The 20,042-nt window shown below is 42.2% G+C and overlaps 1 protein-coding gene and 1 pseudogene across 1 annotated transcript in view, besides 2 other annotated features; both read right to left on the bottom strand.

Moving 5' to 3' along the window:
• The window catches only part of TRMT9B (tRNA methyltransferase 9B (putative)), an 84,105-nt gene extending 65,602 nt beyond the window's left edge, over positions 1-18,503 (bottom strand). Inside the window, exon 1 of the mRNA NM_020844.3 lies at positions 18,210-18,503. The gene's annotated coding sequence lies outside the window, so the exon portion shown is untranslated. The remainder of the gene's footprint in view (positions 1-18,209) is intronic.
• On the bottom strand, positions 1,970-5,769 carry LOC100422204 (regulator of solute carriers 1 pseudogene; annotated as a pseudogene).
• Positions 12,488-12,637: a silencer, noted in NCBI's record as "silent region_18955". NCBI's record gives its function as "represses an Ori minimal core promoter by ATAC-STARR-seq in GM12878 lymphoblastoid cells {active_cell/tissue: GM12878}" and the evidence as "EXISTENCE:reporter gene assay evidence [ECO:0000049][PMID:35858748]".
• Positions 12,809-13,309: an enhancer, noted in NCBI's record as "H3K4me1 hESC enhancer chr8:12808376-12808876 (GRCh37/hg19 assembly coordinates)". NCBI's record gives its function as "activates a minimal SCP1, AML or CMV promoter by ChIP-STARR-seq in naive H9 embryonic stem cells {active_cell/tissue: H9 hESC(naive)}" and the evidence as "EXISTENCE:reporter gene assay evidence [ECO:0000049][PMID:30033119]".
• Positions 18,504-20,042: the final 1,539 nt, after the last annotated feature.

Here is a 20,042-nt window from a genome sequence, read left to right as displayed (position 1 = left end):
AACAAAACTAATGTCACAATAATGACACGAGTCTTTTTGAGTTTCCTTAGAAAAGCCAATATTCTACCTTGATCATAAAACCTCTGTTTTAGGGCATCCTAAATTGTTAGAAAATGAGAAGTTACACAGTTCATGTACGAGAAGATCAGAGTCAAAAACAAGTGAATGGTTTACAAAACCAAAGCTGATGCGATTGGTGTCATTTATAAATATTTGGGAATCAACCAGTATGGAAACAATATCACTAGTTTCTTGAGGAGCAAGGACTAGAACCCATATGGGCTGATTCCACATGTCCACAGATCTATCATGCCACGCTGCAGCCTAGTTTAAATAAACAGAAAACAGGAGCTACTCAGGCACAGCTTAAATGAAAGTAGCCATTGCACAAGGTTTTAAAAAACTTGTATACATTTTTGTTTTGTTTGAGACAGGGTCTTCTTCTGCTGCGCAGGCTGGAGTGCAGTGGTGCAATCACGGCTCATCATAGCATTGACCTCCAAGGCTCAAGCAATCCTCTCTGCTCAAGCCTCCCGAGTAGCTAGAACTACAGGCACACTCCACCACCGCCAGGCTAATTTTTGTTTTTGTAGAGACGGGGTTTCACCATGTTGCCCAGGCTGGCCTTGAATTCCTGGGCTCAAGCGATCTGCCTAGCTCTGCCTCCCAAAACACTAGGATTACAGGCATGAGCCACTGTGTCCTGTCAGTATACATGTGTTTTTCTGTTTTGTTTTGTTTTTGTGACAAAGTCTCACTCTGTCTCCCAGGCTGGAGTGCAGTGGTGCAATCTTGGCTCACTGCAACCTCTACCTCCCAGGTTCAAGCAATTCTCCTGCCTCAGCCTCCTGAGTAGCGGGGATTACAGACGCATGCCACCACACCAGGCTAATTTTTGAATTTTTAAAGTAGAGACGGTGTTTCACTATATTGGCCAGCTGGTCTCAAACTCCTGACCTCATGAATCGCCCACCTTGGCCTCCCAAAGTGCTGGGATTACAGGAGTGAGCCACCATGCCCAGCTGCCAGTATACATGGTTTAGTGATTACTATTTACCTGTAATAAAAAGCTCCATGTAAAAATATAACATAATTTTTCCTCCATTTTTTAGTTATTCAATTATTCTTGAATTTCCTGCTTTAATGGATAAATCATAATACTCAGCGGACTGGGAAGAAATCAAACCCCCAAATCATGTGGCTACAAGTTTTTAACTTGACAATTAAGTTGACAAGCCCTACCTCGTCTATAGCACAAACACACAGCCACAGCGTGAAGTCAGTCAGCTGTTAGCTGTGCCAGTGGTAGGATTTCTAGTAGGTTCTGCTTTTCAAAGACTCACTTTCATTCTAAAGTGGTATGCTACACATAAAACCATCAATCTGGCCAGGCGCAGTGGCTCATGCCTATAATCTCAGTACTTTGGGAGGGCGAGGTGGGAAGATCACTTGAGCTCAGGAGTTCCAGACCAGCCTGGACAACATAGCGAGACCCCGTCTCTACAAAAAATATAAAAATTAGCTGGGTGTAGTGGCACACACCTGTAGTCCCAGCTACTTGGGGGGCTGAGGTACGAGGATCGCTTGAACCCAGGAGGCAGAGGTTGCAGTGAGCCAAGATCACACCACTGCACTCCAGCCTGGGTGATAGAGGGGAACCCTATCAAAAACAAAAAACAAAAAACAAACGAAAAAAAAAATTTAAGCCAGAACACATCATCTTAAGGAGAACGAAAATCTTCTGTATGCACATACTGCCAACACATTTTAAAAGGCCCACATTTTAACAAGTAGACAAACTATCAGACAAGAGATCATAAATTATTTTGGCTGACAAAAATCGTTAAAATTATCTAACTCAACATTCTGCATGTAGGTTTCTACACATAATGTATATGTATGGGTGTGTCTACACAGCCTTTTGAAGGGAATGGCATATGATGAAGCCCATTTTTCCATAGTTATGATGGTGTCCTAGCAAAGCAAGAATATCAAGGTCTGCATTTCTGCCAACTCAATGCATAGCCCCAAGAGCTTCCTGCAGAGGAAAGCTAGCATGGAGAATCCAGTCCATGTCTGTAGGACAAAACATTAATGGTAGAAGGTTGGAGAAACTTGTGGATGGTTGGCATTGCAGCTTCAGGGCTGGCATTCTCTGTGGTTTCAGGTGTGTCTGTTAATGGATTCTGTGGTCTCTGATCCAAGTCTTTAACCAATATGAAACTGGATGGCAAGGAAGTGGTCTGCTGAGAAGTCTGATTGAATATATTCTCCTCGCCTGCTAAAAGCCTGGGTGAAATGTCTGCACTGAAGGTGCAGTGTAGCTGATTAGATGTTTCCTCTGGGATTAAGGCAACAGAGCTGCTCTGTTTTGTTAATTCTTTTGACTTGGAGCTATGTAGCCTACCATTTGACCTGCCATCACTTGGATCCCTGAAGGTAACGTTTTCTTCTTTCTTTTTTTTTTTTTTTTTTGAGATGGAGTCTCGCTCTGTCACCCAGGCTGGAGTGCTGTGGCGTGATCTCGGCTCACTGCAAGCTCCGCCTCCCGGGTTCAAGCCATTCTCCTGCCTCAGCCTCTCAGGTAGCTGGGACTACAGGCGCCCACCACCACGCCCAGCTAATTTTTTGTGTTTTTAGTAGAGACGGGGTTTCACCGTGTTAACCAGGATGGTCTCCATCTCCTGACCTCGTGATCCGCCCACCTCGGCCTCCCAAAGTGCTGGGATTACAGGCGTGAGCCACCGCGCCCGGCCGAAGGTAATGTTTTCTACAACTCCTATGCTAGCATCAAGTGAGGTATTTCTTAACTTTAAAAAAAATATGATTTTTTTAAATTAAAATATTGCATTGGTGTGGTACTTGGGTTACAACTGATGAACCACTATTGATATTTATTATTAACTAACATTCGTAGGCTGTATTAGGATTCACTCTTTGTATTAGACAGTTCTTTGTGTTTTGCCAAATGCATAATGTCACATATCCACCACTACTATATCACACAGAATAGTTTTTTGTTTGTTTGTTTGTTTTGAGATGGAGTCTCACTCTGTCACCAGGCTGGAGTGCAGTGGTGCAATCTCGGCTCACTGCAACCTCCACTTCCCGGGTTCAAGCGATTCTCCTGCCTCAGCCTCCCGAGTAGCTGGGACTACAGGCACGCACCATCACGCCCAGCTAATTTTTGTATTTTTAGTAGAGACAAGGTTTCACTACTTTGGCCAGGATGGTCTAGGTCTCTTGACCTCGTGATCCACCCACTTTGGCCTCCCAAAGTGCTGGGATTACAGGTGTGAGCCACCGCGCCCAGCCCAGTTTTATTGCCCTACAAATCCCTGGTGTTTAACCTATTCTTCTCTTACCCCCACACTCGACCCATGGCAACCACTGATCTTTTTACAGTCTCTAGAGTTTTGCCTTTGCATATGTCAATTAGCTGGAATCACACAGCATTTAGGCTTTTTCAGACTGGCTTCTTTTACTTAGTAATATGCATTTAGGGTTCCACCGTGTCTTTTTGTGACTTGAAAAATCATTTCTTTTTAATCACTAAATAATATTCCATTGTAAGGATATACTACAATTTGTTTATCCATTCACCTATTGAAGGACATCTTGGTTGCTTCCAGTTTTTGGCAATTAGGAACAAAGTGGCTACAGACATTTGTGTGCAGGTTCTGTGTGGAGTTGCCTGTTCATTTTTCAGTCTTCACCCATACAGGTACAGTCCAAGGAGAGCAGGCCTGGGAACACTGTCCATTCTGGGCTGCCGTAAGATACTCCGTGGGCTCCATTTTTCTGAAAGCTCCTTAATACGTGTTTGGTTCTCAGCTACCATTTCTGATTGTCAGGTAGCTTTTGCAGATATATTTTCTTAAGCTTGGTTACTACTAGTGACTGAAATGTAACTATTTCCCTTAAGGCTGCCACTAAAAATGAGCAGATTTCCTCTGTTGACTCCTTAGAGTGCCAAAACTGGCTCAGAGAATTAAACAGGGGGAGCAATTCCCATATAGTAAATGCAGCAACTCCTTATTTGTCCCAGAGGCATGGACATTACTTTCCAGGACTGTAAAGCTCCAGTGGAAATTGTGTTACTTAAAACTTCCAATGAAGAGTTGCAATTTGATGTCTCCACTTCCATAAAGGGATTGTCTGAATTGAGATCAGCTGCACGTATGTTCTTGACACTGGCATTCAGGTGTCTACTTCCACAGCCAAAGGAAGAATACTTTTCTGGGTACCTGGAAGCTCCCTATTCTGCTGTAGCCTGTCTCCTTTCATCTCAGCTTCCAAATCAAGAGAAGCAGATTAAGTATTCCTTTTCTGAAATCTTTGGGACCAGGCCAGGCATGGTGGCTCACGTTTGTAATCCCAGCACTTGGGGAAGCTGAGGTGGGAGGATCGCTTGAGCCTAGGAGTTCAAGACCAGCCTGGGCAAAGTAGCCTTTTTGTGAGACCTAGTATACACAAAAACTAAACAAAGTTAGCTAGGTGTAGTGGCGTGAACCTGTAGCCCCGGCTACTTGGGCGGCTGAGGCAGGAGGATCATTTGAGCCCAGGAGGTTGAGGTTCCAATGAGCCATGATGGTGCCACTGCACTCCAGCCTGGGCAACAGAGCAAGACTCTGTCAAAAAAAAAAAAAAAAAAAAAAAGGAAGGAAAAAGGAAAGGAGAGGAGAGGAGAGGAGAGGAAAATACAAATGCTTGGGACCAGAAGTGTTTCCAGTTGTGGCATATTTGCATGGACATAAAGACAACATACATTTATGATTTATATACACATAGCTGAAGGTAATTTTATACAATCTTTTGAAATAATTGTACGCATGAAACAAAGTTTGGACTGCGTTTTGACCGCAATCTGTCAAGTGAAGTCAGGTGTGGGATTTTTCCACTTGGCATATCATATTAGTGCTCAAAAATTTTTGGATACTGGAGCATTTCAAATTTTGGATTTTCAGGTTAGGGATGCCCAAGGTGTAGTTGTTAGACCTGTTCCCTTTCACCCAGGAAGTTCATGGTCCCCTGTGTTACAAAGATGTTCTTGGTCACGTGAAGAATTCTTTTTATTATTATTATTATACTTTAAGTTCTAGGGTACATGTGCACAACATGCAGGTTTGTTACATAGGTATACATGTGCCATGTTGGTTTGCTGCACCCATCAACTTGTCATTTACATTAGATATTTCTCCTAATGCTATCCCTCCCACAGCCCCCGACCCCTGACAAGCCCCGGTGTGTGATGTTCCCCGCCCTGTGTCCAAGTGTTCTCATTGTTCAATTCCCACCTATGAATGAGAACATGTGGTGTCTGGTTTTCTGACTTTGTGAAAGTTTGCTGAGAATGATGGTTTCCAGCTTCATCCATGTCCCCACAAAGGACAGGAACTCATCCTTTTTTATGGCTGCATAGTATTCCATGGTGTATATGTCACATGGAGAATTCTTTTGTTCAATCTCATGCTGGTTCTTTGTGCTACTGAAGGCCATCATTCACTTTGTTCAGATTCTGACATTCTAGATGCTAGCCTTGTTCATTTAGAGACATACATCTGTGGTAAATGCATCATGGTAGTTGTGACAGAAAAACTAGCTTCCTTTCTTGTATGGAGATGAAATTTAAGATCTTGGGTGCTTTTTTCAGCAGGTAGTTTCTTTCAATTACCTGCTTCTTCTGATGAACCCTACAGAGGCATAGCTGGGCACCAATCTGATGCAGTACTATGCTGGAGAAACAGGATCAGAAATATCTTACAGAAGAAAAGAATGCTTTTCTTTTCCTTCCATTTTTAATTTCTTCATTTAAAAACCAATACTTGGGTATATACCTAAAAGAATTGAAAGCAGGGACTCTAAGAGATATCCGTACACTCATATTCACGGCAGCATTATGCACAACAGGCAAAAGGTGGAGGCAAGCCATGTATCCGAACTGCAGCTGAATGGATAAGCATAATGTGGCGTAAACAATGGGATATTATTCAGCCTTAAAAAGAAAGGAGATTCTGATATACACTATAACATGGATGAACCTTGAAAATATTATACTACATGGAATAAATTAATCACAAAAGGACAAAAAACCTCTTTTTCTTTATAAATCACCCAGTCTCGGGTATGTCTTTATCAGCCGGGTGAAAACGGACTAATATACTATATAAGTGGAATCCCTTATTGATATTTTTAACAGCAACAAAAAGGTACTGTGAGGAGGAGGGATGGGGAGTTATGGTTTAATGGGTATGGAGTTTCACTTTGAGAAGATAAAAACGTTCTGGAGATGGATGGCAGCGATGGTTGCACAGCAATGTGAAAATAAATGTCACTGAACTGTACACTCAAAAAACAGTTAAAATAGTACACTTCATTCTATGCAAAATACAAAATTCTATGCATATTTTATTACAATTTTTTAAAATCAATGTTGCAGTTAATGCAATCAAGCTATAATACTAGCACCTTAATCTTGAGTGACCATTAAGTCCTGGTCACCCCTAGGTTTGCTGAGGTAGTCTCCATTTATGCTTCTGTATTCAGGGCAATCAGTAATCATTCCCTCTTCACTCTCAAAAGTGTCCTGGCTTGAACAATAAGTCATCTGATCACCCTAGATCTATTTCATAATTGTATTAAGTCATTGAATTACCATCTTTGTATGCAAATGTCTTAACATTGAGAATGTACCTGTATTTTTTTAATTACTCTAATCATAAATTTGATGTCCCATGGAATGTTATAGGCTCTGATAAAATTTTAATGGCTTCTGATTACTTCATGAACACTGATTAGAGCACCAAGAGCAGTCCTCATTTCTTATAAACACATTATTTCTCTAAACACTAAAACTCTCTAACATTTATCAAGCTCACCTACTTCACTAGCTCTGTGTTAAAGGGAACAGAGAAGACAAAGACATGGGCCCAGACAGTTGCTACTTCTTGCCTCTCTTGGCTACCTTTTTGTTGCTATTAAAAATATCAACAAATATTCTTTGAAAGCAGAAACATGTTCATGTTTCAATTATTTCCATCTTCCACCTCACCATGAGAGAATACACCACTTTCTCTTCGAGTAAGCTACTGTTCTGCACTTATAATAAAAGTACCATACTATCATAACCTTATTGTTATCCACTCCCTGGACGAATATTTTCTCTCATTTTCCAACTCCAAATATCAGAGGTAAATATAACAAAATTTTGTTCAATAATCAAGACCATCCCTTGATGTGCTAATGTAATTTGTGAGTGCAAATAAACTGGTAATTTACTGCTTAAAAATAGAAGAGATCCAATCATATCTACTTCAATAGTTTGGAAAAAAAGGAATCTGACAAGCACCAGGGTATGAAATAAGTAATTAAAGTGAATTCAAGCATACTCTTATGTTATTCTCCAATAAACAAGTCATGTCTATTTCTGTAATCCTTAAAATGAGCATGCTGAAAGTTACAGGGGAGAGAAAGATTCGGGAAAAACACAGATAATTCATCTAATGAAAGAACTAACAAGCCAGGTGCTATTATTTCTCTCTCAGTACATTACTTTCTTCCTTTGTATTGTGGTTCATTAAATGGGTAGACTATCTGCGGCTTTGAGAAGGAAAAATAATTTTTAAACAATCATTTTCCTAATATTTTACCTTGATTATGAAATCAAACCTAAGAAACATTATTTTCATTCAATTAGTACCGTATGCAGAGGCAGGCGCTTGGTAATTTTTAGTTATTCATTTGCTTGATGCTTTTTCCAGCAATTTCAGCTGCAAAACGATAACATCCATCTGTTTGAAAAGGTAACTGGTTAGCAACTAGCTCCTTTAAAAAATTTTTACAACATATCCTCTTACCTTTCCAAAGTCAATCTCTACCAATTTTAAAAATAAATACTCTAGCCAAATCTCGGATGAAATATATTTTAGATATGTGTTAGGCATGATGGATTGTCACAGAACATTCACTCCTATCTCCTTCAAGTGTGCATCCCTCTACCTTTGAGGCTAGAAACCTATAAGCTGCATTTCCCAGAGTCCCTTGCAGCTAGGGTTCTGGGCACAGTGTTCTTGCAGGGAGATGAGTAGCGTAAGAAGGAAAGTGGAGAGCATCTAAGGAAAACATTTGCTTTCTTGTTTTTGTTGTTGGTAGCAATGTTCAGTCACCAGCTTCCTAGGGTGGAGAGGCATTTTGCAGCAGCCTCTCTGATCAATGGAACACAGCCCAAAAGGTGCACCCTTGATGTTAGCAGTTCTAGCGGTGGTTCTGATTCCCAGCCCCCAGGCTGTGGCAATGACAGCAGCAACCCTGGGGGCCCATCAAGCTTGCCGCCCGGGAGCCAACGCATGAGGCTCAGGCCAGGTCCCCTCCCCTACTTTCAGTTGCAACCTTCATTCCAACCTTCCTGTGAGCATCTAATTCTCATATTCAACCCCTTCCTGCTCGAAATAGTTAGGATAGTTTCCATTATCTGCAACCTAACAGAGAAGAAAGAGAAGGTAGAAATGAGCACATTCGATACAGCAAAATGGGACGTAACACCCCAGAAGAACCATGGAAGTGGCAAAGGTTGTGCCTATTTGACATTCGCAGTTACACCTTTAAGAACAAGAAGTTCATAGGCTGCACCTTGCAGGACTACCCAAATCAGGACTAACAACCCTTTACGGCTTAGGGTTGATGCCGAGACATATTAACAAAGGCTGGGAAATAATGATCGGGACCCCTAGAGAGAAAAGAAGGGAGGATAGGAGGGAACGGGGAAAGGCAAAGAGAATAAAAACACGCATATGTGTGAAGAGGACCATACACCAAACTCCTCAAGTGCCCTCCTTCCCCTACCACCTCATCATCATCTCTAAAAACAACCACAGGTTACTTCTTTAACCTAGCTGAGTCAAAGGCCTGTCTAGGGTGGAGAAGATGCAAGTGTGACAGCCTCTGGCTCCCAAAGGACACTGATTACTAAGAGTACAGCATATTCTATACTCTATGCTATAGGAGTATACTAGCAGTATATTCAGTATACCCAGATGGGGGATTAAACCAGTGACCCAAATATTCAGTTCTAGAGTCTATTAGGCAGCAACCTCTCTGCAGCCTCCAGGAGATGATATTTAGTCAACACACTCCTACTTCTTATTATAAACCCCTCTTTATGACTGCTCACAATGTGCCAACTGTGTACTCAGCATTTACACCTATTCATTTGCTCCCCACAGCCACCTGGGGAGGTGTCATTATCTCCATTTCACAGACAAGGAAATGGCTCAGAGCTGGGCTTTTTAATCCAGGTGATCTAGTTCAAACTCTTAAAATGTCTTCTTTGAGTGGTTAGAAGTTTCTCTGGATGAGAAGTGAGTATCCAAAATGAATGATGTTAACTCTTTTTGAAGATGTCTCAGCTAGGAGTTCTATGCAAGGTACTTTCTTTATGGCATCAAAAGAAGTGAGTCACAAAAGCTGAAGGACATTTAAATGGCCATTTGGCATCACTCTTCAGTCTGTCCTTAAATGAATTCTCCAGTTATCTTAATGCTTTCATGCCATTCTTTTCAGAAGAATTCCTAATTTATCTACGAGTAAAAACATAAGATTGCACAGACAAGCGCTGACAGCCTAATTTCAATAATGCATTATACCAGGGGCTTAATCGCAATGAGAGCTTTCACTCAATTCCTGTTTAAAAACACAAATGAGAACAGTGACATGTAGTAAACAGGCATTTAATTGCATTTTGCTCTCAATATTATGAGCCTGTATAGTGCCAAATATGTCTTGCTTGTGTCTTCTTCAAAGCAATGATAGAGCCTTCTTCATAAATGTGTTTCAAATTTTGGAGACTAGTTCTCTAAAGGAGCATATAAATTCTTTACAAGTGAAATGCATTTAAGCATTCACATATCCGCGTATCAGAAATACTATAAGGTCTGGTCTCTTCTTTACAACCCCTGCAATCTCCAGTAAGATTTCGCTGTCAGAGATACACGTACACAGAGATTTAAGATTTACTGGGAAGATCCCCACTCCCATTGACCTTCCAATTTAAAGTAGAGTTAACCATTCACACAGGGTATTCCCAATTTCACATCACTCTGGTAAGTAAAATTTTATTAAAACCTTTGAACTACCTTGGAACTTTATCCATATTAAGATATACACGCAAAAAGGCACATTTCCAAAGAACATCATTACGGTAATTGAATCTTTCTAGAAACAAAATTTCTTTGGAGTTAGAAAAAGAGTGTATACAGAGCTCTCTTTTCAAATCTGATCAAATGCGTTAATAAAGCAGCAGTTCTTTGGCACAATTTCCTCAGTGACAAGATATGTCCCAACTTCTCAAGGTCTTCTTTAAATAAGTTATAGGTAACCAATGACCATCTGAGAGCCACTTCCACCCTCCCAAGTGATTTTCTTGCTATGAGCAACTCTAAGGCACCACTCACAACACTGGACAGTTCTTTACCCTGTATTCTCAGCCAGCCATCAAAGACAGAGAAAGTTCTAACTCTCCCTTCCCCAAACTTCAAACAAGTTAACCATTCGTTAGCTAAAAGATAAAGGCTTCCAAGGTGGGTGGATCATTTGAGGTCAGGAGTTCAAGACCAGCCTGGCCAACAAGGTGAAATCCCCCTCTCTACTAAAAACACAAAAAAATTAGCTGGGCATGGTGGTTTGCACCTGTAATCCCAGCTACTGGGGAGGCTGAGGCAGGAGAATCGGTTGAACTCGGGAGACGGAAGTTGTATTGAGCCAAGATCGCACCACTGCACCCCAGCCTAGGCGATAGAGTGAGGCTCCATCTCAAACATAAACAAACAAACAAATAAATAATAAAAAATAGAAAGATAAAGGCTTCCATTTGCTGATGTCACATGAATAATAGCAATTTTAATTGCTGAAACAGGGTGAAATGCCAATGGTTAGCTGTATTACCAATAATCTTAACCTGAAAACAATATAGATATATTTTAGCTCTTTCTACACACTAAATTTTCAATGTACATTTAAATTCATGCCTACCACCTAACATAAAGCTCTGCAAGTAGACGTTTACAGCCTTATCTTCTTTCTACATAGAGCATTGTGGGCTCACATCATTTATCACAAAGAACCCAAGTACTATAAAAAGAATCAGCCGGGCCCGGTGGCTCACGCCTGTAATCCCAGCACTTTGGGAGGCCGAGGCAGGCGGATCACGAGGTCAGGAGTTCCAGACCAGCCTGACCAACATGGTGAAACCCCGTCTCTAGTAAAAATACAAAAATTAGCCAGGCATGGTGACGGTTGCCTGTAATCCCAGCTACTCAGAAGACTGACGCAAGGGAATTGCTTGAACCCGGGAGGCGGAGGTTGCAGTGAGCCGAGATCGTGCCATTGCACTCCAGCCTGGGTGACAGAGAGAGACTCCGTCAAACAACAACAAAAAAAACCCCACACATAGCAAGTAATATCATACAAATCCTTACCTTCCTATTTTGGCATTCCTTCTTAAACTGTATTTTCATCGTGAGCTTTGAAAACTTTCTGGCTTCAAGTTATCTTAGTTCTTTGCCTCTTACTAATTAAAAATCAGTTCCCCAGGGAAAGATACACGTGCACTCCATGAAAAAATACGAATCCACTTTAACCCTTAAGGCACTAGACATGTCCTTTATCTCTGAATTCTGATTTATCCAATCTCACACCCAAAGCACATCCCGCAATCCCTTACTGCATGGCTGTCTCGCCTGTTTTGATCGTATTGCAAGGCTGTTTGCAAGGTAAACAGCCACCCCGGGCTACTGGAAAGGCAGGGGACGAGCAGGAACTCACCCAGGCGGCCAGACCCGGGCGCGGGCTCCGGGGCACGCGCTAGACGACCTGTCGCGCCCCCTCCTCCCTGCGGGCGGGCGCCGAGGCAGCGGATCTAGGGCGCAACAGAAGCTTCTCTCCGCTCCCCTATGCAGACCATTGTCAGTGCTCCGGTCGCCGGCGCTTTCCGCACGGTGTGGCGACTGGCAGCAGCTCTCCCGTTGCGAGTAGTCACAGCGCTGTCCCGCAGCCAGGGGCAAAAGCTGCTTTTGCATCAGAGCCGAGGGCTGCACCAGGTGTAACTTCCACCCCTTGACCTATTTTAGAGTGTGAGGATGAAAGGAAGAGGAAAAAATAGACGGAGGGCGCGCGGGGGTGCGGGCGGCAGGGTGCGCGCGTGGCCGTGGGGGAGCGCGCGCGCGGGCCGGGGCTCGTGTCGGGGCTTCCAAAGAGAAGTTGCAGCGAGGCGCCCCCCGGCGTCCGGCGCCTGGGCCCGGTCGGGGGTGCTTCGCTAGCCCTTCTTCCCGCCGCGGCCGCAGGCCAGCTTGGCCCGCCCTACTCCGGCGCCCCGCGCGGGAAGCGCAGCTACCGGGGATCGGGGGCTTTGGGCTGGCCCCGCGACAGCCGTCGGGAGACCGCCCGCGGCCCCCGCCCCCGTCACCGTCCCCGCCTCCCCGGGCCGCCTTCACCTTTCGGGAGGCGGCGCTCGGGCTCAGCTGTCCGGGAACCCAGGCCTGCGGCGCCTCCGGGCAGCGAAGGCGGGCTGGCGCGCGGCGGAGCCGGGGACTGTCGCCTCCCCGCCCCGTTCCCTGCAATCGCCCCGCCCGAACGTGCCCGGGAAGTGAGGCTGGGCCGCGCCCGCCCCGCCGGGGACGGGGTGACCTTCCGGCCTCCAGCCGTGCCCTTGTTGCCTGCCTCTCTCGGCGTGGCCCTTCCTGCGTAGGAGAAGACGCCCCGGCGGGAGCACCTGGTCGGCCCGCAGCGCATCAGCGCAGTACCTTGGGTGACGACGACGCTTGGCTTTAGCGCGGCTCTTCTCACTTAATTTTTTACAGCCCCGGACTTCAGCGGAAATGCCCCCTCGGGGTCGGTTCATTGGGATAACTGGAGATGGGGGGGTTAAGTAGGGTGCCACGGCTTAGACGCTCCAAATCATTCCACTACACAACATGCCTAATCTGCTGAGTTTTGCAAAACGAGCCCCATCAAAAAAGCATCCATCAGAAGGCGGGGTGGAACTTAGAAGTTTTTGCCCAAAACTGGACACAAACCTTTCCTCCCCCCATTGCTTCTATGACAATAGCGTTAACTACTTTCTTCCAGGTCCCTAACGTAATAGTATCTTCAACCGCCTATTATCAAACAACTCCGTTATCATCAGGGATCTATGCACTTTAAAAATGCACGTTCTTAGTGACGAAAAATGAGCACATTTAGTAACCGCTCTGCCGCCCTTTGTATAGAGGTTCGTGCTCCTGATCCCCAGCGTAGGGGGCAGAGTTCATGTCGAGCTGTTGTTTCCAGTTCAGGTTATTTATGGGGACCCAACTACAGGTCTCACATAGACGCTGGTCTATAACAGGTTATTTGTGAGGACACAACTACAGGTCTCACATAGACGCTGGTCTATTTCAGGTGCTACTAAGAGGGCTAATGGACGTCAGCATATAGTTTCTGATTCTGGAATCGTTTTCTAGTGCCACAGTATATTGGGTGGGGTGGAGTGGGGGAAACCTTTGTTTGGGCTTCTCTTTATCCTCATGCCCTGGATAATCAGACTGACATTTTCTTTTTCTGTAAAGGCCTCACATTCAAAAAGAAAGAAAGAAAGAAAGAAAGAAAAAACCACGAGTCTGGTTTTACGTATTCTTGAGCTGAATGCCAGCTACAGAAATGCAGCAGCTCATCCTTGCTTCCATTCACTGGAGCTACAACTACAATATGTCTTCGGACACAGAAGACGTATTGGATACTGTGATGTTCCTTGTCCTCTTCTAACAGTGCATTAGGAGACAAAGCATACCTAAAGTATAGGATAGTGCCTGGCAAATAGTAGGACCTGATAAATACTCGTCCAGTGATTGAAAGACTGTGATAAACAGGAAAGTAACCTACCTTAACTTTTGTAGGAAAACATAAGGGAAATCAGTTATAGGTGACATTGTCAGGGAAGGCATCCTGGAAGTGGTGTCCAATGTCTGATTTAGATATAAAAAATTGGCTAAGGACTAGGTGAGGTGGCTCATGCCTGTTATTCCAGCAGTTTGGGAGGCTGAGGTGGGAGGATCGCTTGAGGCCAGGAGTTTGAGACCAGCTTGGGCAACATAGTGAAACCTCATTTCTGAAAGAAATACAAAACATTAGCTGGGCGTGGTGGTGCATGCCTATGATCCCAGCCATTCAGGAGGTTGAGGCAGGAGGGTCACTTGAGCCCAGAAGCTTGAAGTTGCAGTGAGCTGTGCTTGCACCACTGCATTCCAGCCTGGGTGACAGAGAACCTATCTCAAAATAAGTAAATAAATAAATAGAATTAACTAGGGAGTGGAAGTGAGAAAGTATATTTGATATGCTTTCAAGACATAATAGAGGCAGAGATTCTTAACCTTTTGTAGGTAATAGGCCCCTATGAAAATGTTGATAGAAGCTTTGAAACCCCCTTATATAATAAACAAATGTAAAATATTTGCATTTGTTTTCTGAAAGTTCACTGACGGCTTGAAGCAGACATGTAGAATCCCTAGAGACTTGTGAACTATGACATGAGTTACCAACTTCTTTCTTGTTTGGAGGCAGGTAGAAAAATAAAGAGATTTTTCTAGTTGAGGCCATCATAAGCGGCATTTCAGTGACCACCAGTAGAATTTGGGTAATGGTTGTGGGAAAGGAAAGAAAAATGTACTGTAAAGAAAATTTGTACACCAGAGAAACATAGCTAGACTTTTAAGCCATTTATGTTATTTTTGTACCAGAGAATTTCACTTTCACATCTCAGCAAAAAGGAGGAAAGGATAAAAAATGACTGTCAAAATATTGACAGTTGCTGATGCTGGGTGTACACATGGGGGTTTATTGCATTATTTTCTCATTATTTGTGAGGTTTAACGTTTTTCAGTTTTTTAAAATTTCAGTGGATTTTTACTCTCGGTAGTCATAACCAATCCTATGGCATTTCCTAACTTGAGTTCTTAGAATGGAGATTTTTGTATATAAAAAAAGAAAGAAAGAAAAGAAAAAGAAAACAATACAAACAGGCCAGTGATGCCACACATAAGATTGTTATTAATAAGTAGAGTCTATGTAGAAACAATACGTTTTCTCTGAGGAAGAATTATAAAGTGTGTTGGCCATAGTCTCAACAGAAATTAGACAACTATGAAACGTTGAACACGTGTTTTTCTGGTTTTTTGTTTGTTTGTTTTTGAAACGGAGTCTTGCCCTGTCACCCAGGCTGGAGTGCAGTGGTGCGATCTCGGCTCACTGCAAGCTCCGCCTCCCAGGTTCACGCCATTCTCCTGCCTCAGCCTCCCAAGTAGCGGGGACTACAGGCGCCTGCCACCATGCCCGGCTAAGTTTTTGTATTTTTAGTAGAGATGAGGTTTCACCGTGTTAGCCAGAATGGTCTCGATCTCCTGACCTCGTGATCCACCCGCCTTGGCCTCCCAAAGTGCTGGGATTACAGGCATGAGCCACCGTGCCTGGCCTTCTGTTTTTTTCTAATGTTACACTTAACTTCACTGTGTGTTGCTTAGTTAACTAAGTTTCTTTATCATTACATTTTATTATTATATCATGCATATAATTTATATACTTATATATTATATATTCATATGCAATGTAAATATATATGCAATATGAATATATATTCACATGTATTATATATTTTAATATATTTATATAATATAAATTATTGTATTATGTGTTATATACATACATATATTTATATATAACAGAATATATTATATATATTATATATACAGATGTTCCTTGAATTACGATGGTTCATTTACAATTTTTCAACTTTATGATGATTTGAAAGCAATGCATATTCACAAGAAGTTATACTTCTAGTACTCATACAACCATTGTCTTTCATTTTTACTACAGGATTCAATAAATTACATGAGATATTCAACACTTTATTATAAAATAGGCTTTGTCTTAGATGGTTTTGCCCAATTGCAGGTTAATGTAAGTGTTCTGAGCACATTTTAAGGCTAAGCTAAACCAAGCTATCATGTTCAGTAGGTTAGGTGTGTTAAATGCATTTTACAACACTTTCCATTTACAATGGGTTTATTAGGATGTAACCCCCATCGTAAGTCAAGGAGCAACAGTACTATATAATATTATTATGACCTTTCTCAGTTAACTCAGTTTCTTTATTAGTCAACTCCCTGGGTCTGGCACACACCTCTTAAGGCTACAGATGGCCGGCCATGATTCCTTGAATGCCTGCCTTACTCACTGCCTGTTTCTGAGCAAGGCAGCCCCAATGCTTCCTTATACATAGGCTGCACACTTTCCAAATGTGACCAATTCAATCAACCAAAGGAGCTATCTAGCATGTCCTGTGGACTACAAGGCTGTTGCCTAGCAAAGCATGAAATTTCTCCAGCTTATGTAATAAATACTGCACACCTGAAGTCTCTTAAGTTATGGCATTTAAGTAAGGAATTCACGTAAGTTCTTTTCCTAAAGCTTTTGACCATTATTTTACTTATCCTCATTGGCTATCACAGTCCTTAGCACTTAGAACTCAATGCACATATTTGCATTAATATGCATGTGTTGCCATAAGCCTCAAAATGTGCTGCATGATGCTTATGTCACCATTTCATTCACTTCAGCCTTGACCATCTATTTTATTCAAGGACGTGGTCTAAGGTACTGGCTCTTAGCCATTGAGGGTGCTTACCTATTATTAGCTTAATGGAGACTTACCAAAAAAATTACTGTATTTTTACCCACTTTTCTCCACCTTTCCAAGTCATCCCATATTTTTTTAGTGGTTTTAGCTAGTTTAGCATGATAACATCTTGATGCATAAGGAAGTGGAATCATCACCAGGCTGAATGGTAGACCCGGGTGAGCTTAACTTCAGATTGCAGGAAGAAATTGTGAGGTGTGTTCCAGTCTCTCAGACTGATCTTTAGGAGACTGGAGACAAAATATTCCAACAACAGGGATAGGCAAAGCTCAAGCTTTATGGCCTCATTGGTTTTAAAGGATTCCCCACAGTGACCCAGTCAGAATGGACTGAGAATCAAAGAGCTCACAGCTGTTTATTAGTCAGCACAATTTAGAGACAGACATGCTAACCAAGAGCTGTCTTTGTCATTTTGGGATGTTCACGGGCTGGAGTCCCAGTAGCCATCTCCTAAATCCTAAACCCTTCAGTTCTTCAGCCATTTTGCTGCTAGAAAGTGTGTAGCTGCTGCCTTTATCCAAGGAACTGATATCTTCCACACCTCTGAAACCTGGAAGACCTTCTCAAGGTACATAGGGAACTTCCTGGCATTGGGAATAGGATGGTTTCTTCTCTTATAGGGTTTTATGCACCAAAAAGAGAAATGCCACTTCTTCTCTTTCTTCCTGAACTTTTAAAAAAGTAGTCCTGCCAAGTCTCATCATTTCTCAAGCACCTGTCCTTGGTCCTCTGCTTTTCTCTCTATATAATCTCCCTAGACAACCTCATCCACCTTTCTAACTGCAAGGAAAAACGCTGTGTAGATTTCTCAAAATTCTGTTTCTCTGAATTGGTCTTCTCATAAACCTGCAGATCCCATGCTCTCATCTTGCTTGACATCTCCACCAGGGTGACATCAACACATTCGAACCTGAGGTCCTTCGCCCTCCGTGCACCTAAAGCAGCTGCCCTTTTCTTTCTTCTACAATCTCCGTCCTCCCAGTCACCTGGCACATTCTTAGACTCTGCTTCTTCTTGCCCTTCATAGCCCATGGGTGACCACCGTCTGACAATTTTGTATCTGTACTGCTTTTATTTATCAACTCTGCTCCCTTCTTATTGTTTCTATTCTAGTTCTTTATGTCCCATTACTTCCCACCTAGATGATTACACTAATTGCTTAATCTGCTCTTCTGATTGCCAAGGCCGTCTCTTCCATAAAAGATAATTCCAGACAAAAAGCTATTGTCTAGATTAATCTTTCTGTCCTAAGAATGTATCAGTTCTTGATCTAGATGCTTCTTACATTTATCACTAACCTTTGTATAAAGTATTATTTTATTCAACAAAGATTCATTGCTGAGCAGTCTGTGAGAAAAGCAATGGGGAGCAAAACAGATAAGATATCTACCCTCATGGCACTTATAGTCTCGTGGGATGACAAACATTAATCAACTAATCACAAATATCACAACTAAAATGTGCAACCCCAAATTGCAACACATACCTTGAAGGAAGACTGCAGAGTTGCTAGGAGAGCTCACAGGTTTCATCACTTTCCCAGAGGGAGGACTGTGTAGGATTCAGCCTTAGATCCTGAAAGTCTAGTCCAGAGCCCTGCACATGGAAGTACTGAATAAGTTGAAGGAACATATGCATCAAGAAAAAAAATTCAAAACAAACTAACAAAAAACACAAAAAATGAAAAAAGAATAAAACAAAGAAAAAAAGCCAAAAGAACATGTGCATCTACTTCTGACATATACATGTGTGATCTTTTCTGTACTACACAATACTGAATAAAACACACACCGGATGTTCCCTCAAATACTGACCTCAACACATAGCCACGTTAGCTGTTTGCTTTTGTTTCCATGACCACATGTCCATGGGGCATCTAATCTCTAAATACACCCTATTTTCTTTGCCAGCATGACAACATGTAGAAACTTGTTATCCTGGTAGCATTACCAAGAATAATTGTTGCTTTATGGTGAAAGTTTTTAGGCATGCTTTAATACTTTGCTGTTATCACCAACACAAACCCATCATCCCTCTTCCCTACAGTTTGGAATGTTTGCTGAAGATGTCAAACAACATTGTTTCTTTTGCCCCTTGGGAAACTGGTTCATCCTCCAGCTGTCCTTTGTGTCATTCGCCAGCTTCCTCTCCATTTCCAAAGCTGTTTGAGTATTACCTCTTCATCCTCATGCTCTTACCTTTTGTCTGTCACTCTTTCATCATTCTGCTATTATGATCACGTAATTTTTGGAGTCAGCTTTTCGCTGGAACACTGAGTGACACATATCACTTGGCTTATTTTATCTCTTTTTTTTTCTTTTTACAATACTATTAGATAATTTGTTTCAAGAAGCACTTTTGTGCATAGAATCTCAGGTCTGATTTGGGTGTGTGTGTTGTTTGTTTCCAGCTTTGAATGAACAAGGACTGGAAAAGATGAGCTTATTTGTCATGGTAGGAAAAGAAAAACTGCAAAAAAATACAATAAATTTCACCAACAGAGAATGTGTTATATAAATAAGGGAGCAACTACATGTTAAAAAATGCAGAGCCATGATCCTGAAGACAATTTAATGACCTGGAGATACAATGCAGTGTTAAATAAAAAGCAGTTTCACCCCAATATTTTAACATTATATAGTATATTTACATATATGTAGGGGAAAATGCTGGACAACCATACAAAAATGTGACTAGTGATTTTCTCTAGGTGATGGAATTTTATTTTCATATATATATATATATATATATATATACTTTTTTTTTTGAGAGAGGCAGACTTGCTCTGTCCCTCAGGCTGGAGTGCAGTGGTGCAATCTCAGCTCACTGTAATCTCTGACTCCCAGGTTCGAGTGATTCTCCTTCCTCAGCCTCCCAAGTAGCTGGAATTACAGGCGCGTGCCACCAGGCCTGGTTAATTTTTTTGTATTTTTAGTAGAGACAGGGTTTCACCATGTTGGTCAGGCTGGTTTCAAACTCCTGACCTCAGGTGATCCACCCACTTTGGCCCCCCAAAGCGCTGGGATTACAGGCATGAGCCACCACACCTGGCCTCTTCTATATATTTTTTAAAGGGAAGGGGATTCTATGCAGTTTGCGAGCAAAGCATATCCCTATTTATAGCCACAACTCTTGTCTCATAAATTTTATTGCTATTTCATCACTGCTCTTACCAATGAAATATGTGAGGAGCAGTACCAACATAGTACTCTTTCGTTCTCTTTATTATTATTTTAAATTCTCAAGTGCAAAAGTACGAGAAAGTCCAATTGTTTCAAGTGTAGAAGTCACAATGACCTCATCATTCTCACCGTAAAAA

This window comes from Homo sapiens, chromosome 8 (genome assembly GCF_000001405.40).
Source record: "Homo sapiens chromosome 8, GRCh38.p14 Primary Assembly".
In the NCBI taxonomy this organism is placed as follows: Eukaryota; Metazoa; Chordata; class Mammalia; order Primates; family Hominidae; genus Homo; species Homo sapiens.
Note: the sequence above shows the minus strand (reverse complement) of the source record. Positions and strands in the feature narration are given on the sequence as shown.